The sequence below is a fragment of the Homo sapiens genome, chromosome 22 (assembly GCF_000001405.40).
Source record: "Homo sapiens chromosome 22, GRCh38.p14 Primary Assembly".
In the NCBI taxonomy this organism is placed as follows: Eukaryota; Metazoa; Chordata; class Mammalia; order Primates; family Hominidae; genus Homo; species Homo sapiens.
This window is the reverse complement of record NC_000022.11, coordinates 34,093,832-34,106,521: the sequence shown is the minus strand read 5'-3', so window position 1 is coordinate 34,106,521 and position 12,690 is coordinate 34,093,832. Positions and strand designations below refer to the sequence as shown.

Genomic DNA, 12,690 nt, shown 5'->3' with positions numbered 1-12,690 from the left:
GGTAGAAAATGGAATGGCTCTTTGAAAAGCCAGCTTGGGGAGGAAGAAGAGTGTGGTGGGAGTTCCTGAATCACTGGGACCCCTTTCGCTCAGCACTGGAGATACTTGGATCATAGCAGAGGTTTCTAACCTAAGATGCAGGGACCCCCAAGCTTCAGAGGACCTGGAAACACCCAGCCAGGACTTTAGTTTTACTTGGAGTAAGATAATTATTTGGACCACCTGAAATCATAGGAAAAAAGATCTGTGTGTGTGTGTGTGTGTGTGCGCGTGTGTGTGTTAAACATAGATGTATGCTCACTCATTCTTCTCACAATATCTACTAGTGCCAACTCCTTCCTGGGCTCTTGAGCTACAAAGGAAACCCTGTGTAGCTTACATTCTAATGAGAAAAGAAACACTGAACGAATATATATTTCTGTAAATAATAAAGCTAAGAGGCTAAAGAATGTCCAGGCTGGCAGGCAGCTTTTTCAGGCAACATGAAATGGAAGCTCTCTTTGAGAAGATGGAATAGGAACGGAAATTCGAATTAAGTAAGGGAATAAACAGTGCAACTAGGAGGCAGAAAAGAGCAAATACAAAGACCCTGAGATGAGAACATTTTGGCAGGTGCAGGAAATGGGAAGAAGTCCAGTGGGGCTGGAGTACAGACAGCCACGGAGAGAACGGCAGGAGAGGAGGGCAGAGAGATTAAGCAAAAGGCAGGTAGCTCCTTGCAGAGCAATGTGTGGACTTTGCATTTGGATTTAATTGCCAGGATGATAGAAGTCCTGCGGAGGGGTTGTGAGTAAAGGTGTAACTTGATCTGACTTGTGCTTTAAAGGGCTCTCTCAAACTGTTGTGTGCAGAACAGACTGCAGGGGGCAACGTGGAGCAGGCAGATAACTGGGAGCAAGGCGGTGATCCACGGGAGACGGCTAGCCTGGACCAAGCAGTTGGCAATGGATAAGGTGAGACATAGGGCTGCTTGCTAATTGAATGTGGATGTATGGGCATTTAGCTGGAGAAATTCTTCATCAGACACCTGTTTCTCCTGACAGTCTGGCGTGCATTCCTGCTTCTTCTGGTGAAAGCATCTCTGCTTCACGTTTAGAACTATGCCGCCGCAATGGACGCAGTATACCCTGAACTGTTCTTCAGAGTTCCCAAACTTCCCCTGGCTGAGGAGTCAGCCCTGGACCTCAGCTAGGTCAGTGAGGCTCTCTTTCCCGGAAAACTGTCTCTTCAGTAGAGCGACATAGGTCTTAAAATGGAAACGTTCGCCCTGACAGTTGTCCCCTGAAGGGGCTGCCCATGAGTTCTGCTAGCCAGACCCTGAGGCTGCTTTGATCCTTTCCTTTCCACAAGGAGTCAGTCCATAGCCCCAGGTCAACCCTGTGGCCATTGATGTATCAGAAGCACTGTTTTAAAGTCCATGTGATGTAGGAAAACGCTATCAGACTGGGATTCAGGAAACCTGGGTCGTAGACTTGGTTCTGACACTGACTAGCCACAAGATCTTGACAAATATCTTCTCTTCTAATCCTCCACTTTTTTTTTTTTTTTTTTGATGGAGTCTCGCTCTGTCACCCAGGCTGGAGTGCAGTGGTGCAATCTCGGCTCACTGCAACCTCGGCCCCCCAGGTTCAAGTGATTCCTCCACCTCAGCCTCCCAAGTAGCTGGGACTACAGGAGCCCACCACCATGCCTGGCTAATTTTTTTTTTTTTTTTGTATTTTTGTAGAGATGGGGTTTCACCATGTTGGCCAGGCTAGTCTTGAACTCCTGACCTCAGGTGATCTGCCCACATCAGCCTCCCAAAGTGCTGGGATTACAGGCTTGAGCCACCGTGCCCAACCCATCCTTGCAAAAAAACAGAGGAGTCAGAGATGTGACCTATTGTATGCTCCTATGCCATATCCATGCACATGGCGTAGAACATTATAACCTGTAAAATGTCCATCTCTCCCACCGGCCTGGAGGAGGGGGCAGCTTTATTCATTCACAGAGAAATAGTTGCTGAGTCTCTTTCATGTGACAGGCACAATGCAATGTTCCAGGATGATTACCTGTGTCTACTCTAGCTCAGTACTAATGCTCAATAAATGTTTTCAAACAAATGATTTGATTTCAGAGTTCCTTTAGAAACTAATTAACACATTGAATGCATCTATAAGGTGATTCCAAATTGTTGTTATGAGAATTATCTCTTTAGAGATTCCTCTCCAGTTCCTACAGTCTATGAATCTATGAGTCGCTTATATGAAAGGTTAGCAATAATGGATTTTGTCTTCTGAAAATCACAGCTGCTCACTGGATGCTTCTCTTGAAGCGACACCATCAGCAGGTTATTCTGACCCGCTCATTAAGACTTCCTTAAAAGACAAGGATTAGTAGATAATTCACCTGTCTAGAAAAACAGGTGCTAACTTCCACTTTATGGCTAGGCTGGGGAGGGGGGTGGGTGGGGGGTGGAAATAAAAGCAACCGTTTCCATAGCAACAAAAATGCACACTTTAAAGAACATAGTGTCTTGCTTAAATCTATTTATAAAGAATGTGTAGGAAATACAATTAAGGAAACTAACAGCAGATGAAGTACTTGGGCTCTGGCTTAATTGTCTGTCTTCCATCATTTAGTACTTAAGAAAAATGGCTTGCTAAAAGATGGAGGGGTCAGCGGCACAGGAGGCGGCACAAAGAGGAGGATGTGACTTTCCTGCATCTCTCAGAGAGCCAAGCCCCTTCACAGCCCCTACATTCCCAACCCCAAAGTAGCAGCTCCCATTGCCCCAGTCTAGCCCTGTTCAGACAGTTTTCAAGGCCGGCATGAGGTGTGGGTTAGTAGGTCACCACCTTAGAGACCTGATTTAATTGTCCCCTGTGGCTCACTAGACTGCAAAAACCTTTACTGTTGACCTGAAATTTTCACCAGGAGATTCCTAAAGGTGCATTTGTAAGCCCTGCTTCATTTCCAGAATTCATCATGTTACCTGGATGCTTTGCCAGGACTCGAAACTGAAATCCAAAGTCAGCTCCTCTTCCTGAACAGCTGACTTCTGTCCCTTTACCCTTTCTGGCATTCAGGACCGATACCGCTCACATTCTTCAATCTTGCCCACTTTTTCTTCTCAATTGTCTCTGCAACCTTTCAACTGTCATGACCCAGGACTACACAAAATGCAGTAGAGATGGTCTCATTCAGGTCTTCCGAAGGATTTTTTTTTTTTTTTTTTTTTTTGAGACAGAGTCTCGCTCTTGTTGCTCAGGCTGGAGTGCAATGGTGCGATTTCGGCTCACCACAACCTCCACCTCCTGAGTTCAAGTGATTCTCCTGCCTCAGCCTCCCGAGTAGCTGGGATTATAGGCATGCGCCACCATGCCCACCAAATTTTTTGTATTTTTAGTAGAGACGGGGTTTCACAATGTTGGCCAGGCTGGTCTCAACCTCCTGACCTCAGGTGATCCATCTGCCTTGGCCTCCCAAAGTGCTGGGATTACAGGCGTGAGCCACCGCGCCCGGCCCTGAGGGACATTTTTTGGCTCCCTTCCTGGGCCTCACTGCTCTCCCACCAGACACTCTTGTCCTGGGCTCCAGACTCTGGGGGATTCCCAAGGGTCTAAGGCCAGTCTGCTAAGCAAAACCTTGACCCTGTGTTTCTTGAACTTCAGAGCCTACTCCTCAAGGATAAGATGCTGAAGCAGCCACGTGCTGGTGTTGTACCTTGGACAGTTCCATATGATGAGCTCAGCTTTCACCCATTCTGCAGGAGCTGTGGTTCTGCAGCTCCCTGACCAGGGACAGCTTCATCCTGCACAGGACCATGCATGCAGGGTGTGCTCAATCATCAGTGGTGACTGCCGAACTCCTTCCATCATTCTCACATGCTCCACAGCAACCACAAACACTTGTTTAACCTGGAAAGAGGAAAAGGCCACCCCGGAATAGTCATGCTTCCCTCTCACTGAAGTGAACCAGATGGGGCCACATGCAATCAGATGGACTCCTAAACAGAACAAAATGTCACTCTCCTTGTATCATGGTTGTCTCATGGGTTGACATACCCAACACTAAAAAATAAAGAAAAAAATTGTAAATACAGCAGTCTCCCCTTATCCATCCGTGGTTTTGATTTTTGAGGTTTTTAGTTACCCCCAGTCAACTGAAAATATTAAACGGGAAATTCCAGAAATATACAATTTGTTTTTTCTTTTTTGTTGTTTTTGTTTTTTCCGAGACAGAGTCTTGCTCTGTCGCTCAGGCTCCAGTGCAGTGGCGCAATCTCGGCACCTGCCACCATGCCCGGCTACTTTTTATTTTTTTTTTAAGTAGAGATGGGGTTTCACCATGTTGGTCAGGCTGGTCTCAAACTTCTGACCTCATGATCCACTCACCTTGGCCTCCCAAAGTGCTGGGATTACAGGTGTGAGCCACCGTGCCTGGCCGAAATATACAGTTTGTACGTTTTAAATTGTACATTGCTCTGAGTAGCATGAAGAAATCGCCACTCCGTCCCAACCTGATGTGGATCCTCCGTTTGTCCAGCGTATCCACGCTGCAGGTGTTACCAGCCCCAGAGTCACTTAGTAGTCATCTCAGTCATCAATTCAACTCTTGAGGTTTTAGAGTGCTTGTGTTCAAGTAATCCTATTTTACTTAATTTTTGCTTCACTACTAATAATTATTAGTTATTTCTGTTAATGTCTTACTGTGCCTAGTTTATATATAAAACTTTGTCAAAAGTATGAATATACAGGGAAAACATAGCACAGTATGTATAGGGCTCAGTATTATCAGCAGTTTCAGGCATCTGCTGAGGGTCTTAGAATGCATTCGCCACAGATAAGGGAGAATACTCTAAAAACACGAGAGAAAAACAGTGCCTTGTCCTTTTCTCCAGCACCCTCTTTCCAGAAAGAATCTAATTAGAAGAGTCTTGAATCTTTCTTTCTGCAATGGCTAAGGCTCTGCCATCACAGGTGCTCCTTCTCCTGCCCCAGGCCCAGCTGTCTTCCTTTCCTTCCTCAAACAAGCCAGGTACATTCCTTTGGGACACGCCACTCCCTCTATCTGAATCTCCCTGACCTAAATCATTACTTGTTTGGTTCTTTTTTCTTTTCTTTTCTTTTTTTTTTTTTAGAGGGAATTTCGCTCTGTCACCCAGGCTGCAGTGCAGTGGCATGATCTTGGCTCACTGCAACCTCAGCCTCCCAGGTTCAGACGATTTTCCTGCTTCACCCTCCCGAGTAGCTGGGATTACAGGCACCCACCACCACACTCGGCTAATTTTTTTTTTTTTTTTTTCATAGAGACGGGTTTCACCATGTTGACCAGGCTGGTCTTGAACTCCTGACCTCAGGTGATCCGCCTGCCTTGGCTTCCCAAAGTGCTGGGATTACAGGCGTGAGCCACTGTGCCTGGCCACTTGTTTGGTTCTTACCATCCAGTCCCCAGCTCAGAGAAGTCTTCCTGGACCCTGTTGAAAGTAGCCTCTTCCACCAGCCAAGTCTTTTATTTGTTCTATTTCCTCCATGACATCTATCAGTGTCTGCAATTATTTTGTTCACTTAGGGTTCTACTTACTTATTTCTACTTACTTATTTCCACCACCAGCATATAAATTTGTTGAAACAGACACACTGTCTGTATTGTACCCCTCTGTATCCCCAGGCTCCAAACAATGCCTGGCATAGAGTAGAAATTCAACAAATATGCATTGCATGAATGAATGCTTGCAGGAATTAATGAATGGTGGTGGTAATACAGCCTCATGGTTAGAACTACAGGCTTCAAAACCTGACATCTTTGAGTATGAATTCTGGATTGAACATTTAGTAGTTACCTGAACACAGGCAAGTCAGTGAACTGCTCAAAGCCTCATTTTCTTCCTTTGTAAAACAGGGTCAAATATAGTATTTATCTCGTAAGGTGGTTATGAGAATTCAATGAGAACAACACTGGCCAAGTACTAAGCACAGTGGCTGGCACATAACCTCAGCAAATGGGCATTACAATTATCCTCCTATTTTCCCCTATTCTGTAATACTCTTCCTACTATTGCCAATTAATGGAAACTACAATTCTTTTTTCTATCTTACCTATAGAAAGTCTTCCTGAGGAGACTCTGGTCTAATTGATTCTTTCTCTATTGCCATATTGAAGTTCCATCTGCTTGCAAATTACTGTAGAATAAGAATAGAATGACAATTTAGTTAGCATCTACTATGCTCAGGCATTTGATATATACTGGATTATCTCTTTCACCCACATGGAACTCTGCCAGGGGGAAGAGCAGACAGTGGCAATTGTGCCGTGATATCTGTTTGAAACGCTTGTTCTTCAGTGCTGTAAAGAAATAGCACTTGAACATAAATCTCAGCAAAGCTATTTTTATACTTTCTGCAGAAAGGGTACACTCACCAGCAGTTTTGCCATGAGAGTACACTGAACAAAGGAGACAGGGTCATTTATAACCTGACGCTTCCACCTTACTGCTGTGTCCGGTTTCTACTGGCTGGAATGGGACCTCACATTCTGTATTTGCCTTGATTGGCTAGCAACTTAGAACTTTTTAAAAGAGGCAAAGGCAGGGGAGAACAAAGGAAGGAGGAAGTAACTTGTGGAATGCTGAGAAAGGTAAAAACACCTTCAGATAAGGAAGAGGAACAGGCTATGACTTAATGCTTGCTTGGACTAGTATAAGCATGCCAGGGCAAATATTTAGGCTAAATTGTGGGAGCTAAGAACATAAAGCACATCGATTTCTTTATTATGGCTAGCAGATATTTAAGAATATTAGCACAGGTCTTTGAATAAATTTTGCTTTTAAGAGAAGTTGCTATTTATTCCTAATTAGACTGGGAGGAAAGTCTTTGAAGAGGAACCTCTACTTTATTTTTCATGTATCCATTCTACCTTCTTTTTTAGTGATAGAGTCATAATTGCTTGGGGAAGGAGGAGCAAAGAGAACATTTCTCGGACTCCCTGGCAGTCAGTTGTGGCCATGAGACTAAGCTGTGGCCAATTAGATAAAAGCAGAAGGAAACTGGTTCAGCAGGAAAACTAGCCTATATTTGTCCTTTCCCCCACCCCACCCACACAGTTCCTGCAACCTAGAATGTGGAGGTGGGGGTAGGGATGGTCCTTAAAGGTAGCTTGAATCTTGAGGTGAACATGAGGATGGATGAACATGAGGATGGTGGGGCAGAAAAATAAAAGAAACTTGCACACTAGCCCTAGAATCCCTACCTACACACTACATTTCTGGGAGAAATAAAAACCGCATTTCTATTTCATTCAAGTCAGTGGTATCTGAGCTTTTCTATGATAAGTAGCAAACCCTAATCCTAACCTTTACTATAGGCATCATAAGCCCATGGTATTAATGAAGACTTGGAACTCAGGAAGAGTGAATAATTTGTCCAAGATTACACAGCTAAAAAGCCACCAACCTGGTATTTGAATGTTGATGAACTTCATTCTAATAAACAAGTTTTTTCCATTAATCCTGCAAGTTAGGTCTCAATTCAGGGCAGAAAGGATCTCAGAGGGGTTTACCTCCAACCCTCAGGCAATAGGGAATCCTTTCTCCAGCATCCCTGAAGACCACCCCAGCCTCAGGCTTAATGGCCTCTGGGGACATAAAACTCATGACTCACTGTTCAATCCTTTATTTATTTATTTATTTATTTATTTATTTATTTATTTATTTTTGAGATGAAGTGTCTCTTTGTTGCCCAGGCTGGAGTGCAGTGGCACGACTCCAGCTCACTGCAACCTCTGCCTCTCAGGTTCAAGCAATTCTCCTGCCTCAGCCTCCTGAATAGCTGGGACTGCAGGCACATGCCACCACACCTGGCTAATTTTTGTATTTTTAGTAGAGACTGGGTTTCACCATATTGGTCAGGCTGCTCTCAAACTCCTGACCTCAGGCAATCCACCCACCTCGGCCTCCCAAAGTGCTGGGATTACAGGTGTGAGCCACCGCGCCCGGTCCTCAATCCTTCATTTTTCAGAAAGCTCTTCTTTGATGTAACAGCTGAAATTGACTTTTTTTATAATGTCCACGCCATAATTGTGAACTTTCAAACCAGTGAGACCTTGTGGTGTCCACTTGGCTCTTCAAACCTTTCAGGACAGCCTTCAGGTGTCTCTTGGTCTTCTGTATGCCAACTACAATGAATCCTCATTCATTCATAACACAGAGGAGGGATGCTTATGTGCCAAACACTGGGCTATGCACTGAGGCAGATGTGCTGGCTGACCTCAAGGAGTTTGTAGTCTAACGGGACTCCCTAAAAGGGCGTGGTCTCTTTTGGTCCCATTTAACTGTGCCAATTTCTTTCGGAAGAATGGTTCTTATGAGTAGTGTTTCCAATTATGGGGAGATAGACTCATAAACTTAGATTCTTTGTGTCCACCTATCTTAGCCCCTTTATATTTTCTTTTCTTTTATTCTCATCATACTCCCCCTGGAGAACTCAATCGTGCCTGGAATTTCAGTGGTAACCTAAACGCCAACCAATCCCAGGCCTTTATCTCTAAACTCTCTCTTAGGCTCCAGACTCAAATGTAAAGGTCTAATTGTCAACTCCACCTTGATATACTGCAAACCCCTCAAATGCAGTAAGTCCAAAGCTGAATCCATCGTCTCTCTCCCTGCCTCCCTTCTGCCTCCAATGCAGCCTCTCCTCCTGCACTCTCTGCTCTGGTTAATGTTACTGTGATCTATGCCATTTTCTAACCTCGCATGATCCCTTCCTCTAGCTTACACTCCACTTTCTTCCCTGCCATTCTCTTATAAATTCCCCACATCCCTCCCCACCTCCACGGCCACTGTTGAGTCCTGCATCATCATTTATCCAAACAATTCCAATAAACCCCCTGGCTAACCTTCCTGTTCCTGATGAAAACCCTGTACATTTCAATCTAACCTACACACTATCAGCATTGACCTCTTTAAATCAAACACTGGCTATAGCACCTATTACTTAAAAGCCTTCCATGCAACATGCCTGCTTATCAACTGCGAATGCTGTGGCCATAAAATGACCTCACCAATCAGGCTTCAATTTATGTTTCCAGCTTCATCTCTTCCCACTTCCCTGATCCAATTTTTGTTTGTTTGTTTGTTTCTGAGACGGAGTCTCGTGATCTTGGCTCACTGCAACCTCTGCCTCCTGGGTTCAAGTGATTCTCCTGCCTCAGCCTCCCAAGTAGCTGGGATTACATGCACCTCCCATGCCCGGCTAATTTTGTGTTTTTAGTAGAGACGGGGGTTTTGCCATGTTGGTCAGGCTGGTCTTGAACTCATGACCTCAGGTGACCTACCTGCCTCGGCCTCCCAAAGTGCTGGGATTACAGGCATGAGCCACCGCGCCTGGCCCCCAGTCCAAATTCTATACACTGAACCCCAGCTACAGGAAACGGCTCCCTGCTTTCCAACATGTCACATGCTTTTCTGACCCTGTGTCTTCCCTCTTCCTCTTCCTGCTGGTCCCTCTTTGGTAAAATGAAGTCTTCCCCAGTCACCAGGCTGAGCTTTGTCACTGCCTGTGTACTCCCTAGCTGATTGCACAACCTCTTCTAAAATCTTGCCACATGATCATAGAATGCTTGTTATATGACAGACTTTGTGACTATAAGGTCATGGGGGGGGCAATGATTACTTCTTACACACCTCTACATGCTCATGATTTACACACATCCTGCACACAATAATGGAGAAATCAGAGGTGATTAACCATTAATGAGCCCTAACTTGGTGTCAGGCCCTACCTTGGTCATGTCACACACCGTTCACCGGAAGACCATAAGGGGTTCTTGAGGTCAGAAAGCGCAGCATAATAATAGACTTACTGCATAATATTTATTGAACACTTACTGTATACCTGGTGTCAAAATTTAAAAGTGCACTGAGTAAAGTTCAACAGCAAGGCAGTAACTAGAAATGGAAAACCAAAAATCGTATGTCCTCACTGATATGTAGGAGCTAATCTTTGAGGACACAAAGGCATAAAAATGATACACTGGACTTTGGGGACTTGAGGGAAAGAGTGGGAGGGGAGTGAGAGATAAAAGACAATAAATATGGGGCAGTGTATATTACTCGGATGATGGGTGCACCAGGTTCTCACAAATCTCCACTAAAGAACTTACTCATGTAACGAATACCACCTGTACCCCAATAAATTGTGGAAAAATAAATTTAAAATAATAATAATAAAATAAATAAAATGTGGATGGGGAAACACCTGGCATTTCAGAAGCATCTGCACTGTTATTGACATGCAACATGGCTTCTATGGTCAATGTTAACTGTGTGATATTTTCCAAGTAATTCATTTGCAGTGCCTGTTCCAGAAAACTGGAACAAAACAGAAAAGAAGAAATTCAACTAGGTATATCAATATTTTGAAAAAAACAAAAACAAAAAAAAACAGCAAGGCAGGCTTTAGTCAAGGGTATTGCAATTGGGAAGAGAGGCCAGAACTCAATCTGAAGTCAACTGCACTGAACCAAAAGGGTAGAAGAGGTTGTTTTGCTTTGTTTTGTTCTAGGTTCTGGGGTACATGGGCAGGATGTACCAGTTTGTTACATATGTAAACATGTGCCATAGTGGCTTGCTGCACCTATCAACCCATCACCTAGGTATTAAGCCCTGCATGCATTAGCAATTTTTCCTAATGCTCTCTCTCCCCCTACCCCACCCCCCAACAGGCCCCAGTGTGTGTTGTTCCCCTCCCTGTGTCCGTATGTTCTCATTTTTCAACCCCAACTTACAAGTGAGAACATGCAGTGTTGTTTCTGTTGCTGCATTAGTTTGCTGAGGATAATGGTTTCCAGCTCCAACCATGTCCCTGCAAAGGGCATGATCTCGTTCTTTTTTATGGCTGCATAGTATTCCATGGTATATATGTACCACATTTTTTTTATCTGATCTATTGTTGATGGGCAACTGGGTTGATTCCATGTCTTTATTATTGTGAATAGTGCTGCAATGAACATACGCATGCGTGTATTTTGTAATAGAACGATTTATATTCCTTTGGGTATATACCCAAGTAATGGAATTGTTGGGTCAGATGGTATTTCTGGTTCAAGATCTTTGAGGAATCACCATACCATCTTCCACAGTGGTTGAACTAATTTACATTCCCACCAACAGTGTAAAAGTGTTCCTATTTCTCTGCAACCATCTGTTGTTTCTTGACTTTTTAATAATGGCCATTCTAACTGGCATGAGATGGTATCTTATTGTGGTTTTGATTTGCATTTCTCTAATGATCATTAATAATGAGCTTTTTTTTTTCCATGTTTGTTGGCTGCATGAATGTCTTCTTTTGAAGGTGGGGGAGTTTTTAAGAGCCAGGGTGAGTTGGACCATAGGTGACCTGTGCTTGCTAATTGGCCTTACCCAAAGGAAAATAAGCTTTCTTGCATCTTCTTGACAGGAAGAAATTTTACAACACAGAGCAAGGTGCCCACTGAAAGTTAGGCTCCTACCCTCCCATAGGTAGAGGGATTCTCTTCCATGATGATTACATTTCAAAAGGATGGTTACCAGGTCCTAGAGAAAGACATTCTTGGGTTGTCCACTGGCAAGAGAATTTTTTTTATTTGAAATTCAATTGTTATTAATATAATTGAGCCACATAACACAAATTCATTAACAATATGAGAATTTTTTTTTTTCTTTTGAGATGGTGTCCTGCTCTGTCACCCAGGCTGGAGTGCAGCGGTGCGATCTAAAAGATTTATGGTCGGGCACAGTGGCTCATGCCTCTAATCCCAGCACTTTGGGAGGCCAAGGTGGGTGGATCACCTGAGGTCAGAGGTTCAAGACCAGCCTGGCCAACATGATGAAACCCTGTGTCTACTAAAAATACAAAAAATTAGCCGGGTGTGGTGGTGGGTACCTGCAATCCCAGCTACCCGGGAAGCTGAGGCAGAAGAATCTCTTGAACCCAGGAGGCAGAGGTTGTGATGAGCCAAGATCACACCACTGCACTCCAGCGTGGGCGACAAGAGGGAAACCTCATCTCAAAAATAAAAATAAAAAGATTTACATCTCAAAGGGGCAGAGAAAGAATTCACAATTATGATTTTCTAAAGTAAATGCTCTAAAAAGGGAAGAGAAGGACCCCAAGTGAGAAAGAAGTCTGTCTAAAGTCAAGTCAAGCCTAGAGGAAAGTTAAGGCCATCTCCGTCACTAGCATTGTGTTGAGCACTTTGCATAAACCATCTTATTTAATAATCCTCACAACGGCCCTCTGTAGAAGAATATCAACTTCATTTCACAGCAAGAAGATGGCAGAGCTGCATGCCATAGCTGACAGATAATTCACTTCTCCAGCCTCAGTGTGTGATCAGTCTGGCAGATAAAAAGAACTGAGCAAGTCAGTCTGTTGAATGAATAAACGATCTTTGCTTTACACTTCTCTGGTATTTAGTTGACCAAATGATCGTATTATATGGAAAAGGATGGTAGATCCCATGAGATTCTATGAGATCTCAGTTAGCAACCTGTGGGTCTCTTCCCAAGTACCACAGACCAAGGGCAAGCACACCGCACCTGGGTAAAACAAGCAAGACATAGAAGAATAAGTAATAAAAGTGGGAACAAAATGCTGAAGGAAACTGACAAAGGCATGAGGCACTACAGAAGGTTTCATTTTAGGCAGCCACCTTGCTACTGAGCAGCTATTG

General features: G+C 43.9%; 1 long non-coding RNA gene across 22 annotated transcripts in view; it reads right to left on the bottom strand.

Moving 5' to 3' along the window:
* Positions 1 to 12,690, bottom strand: part of LINC01643 (long intergenic non-protein coding RNA 1643) — a 201,365-nt gene that overhangs the window by 112,275 nt on the left and 76,400 nt on the right. For 20 of the 22 annotated variants that reach the window (NR_183602.1, NR_183600.1, NR_183601.1 and 17 more), the window contains one exon: positions 6,081 to 6,164. The exons of the other annotated variants lie outside the window; for them this stretch is intronic. This is a non-coding gene — a long non-coding RNA (long intergenic non-protein coding RNA 1643). The remainder of the gene's footprint in view (positions 1 to 6,080; positions 6,165 to 12,690) is intronic. 22 annotated transcript variants of the gene reach the window in all.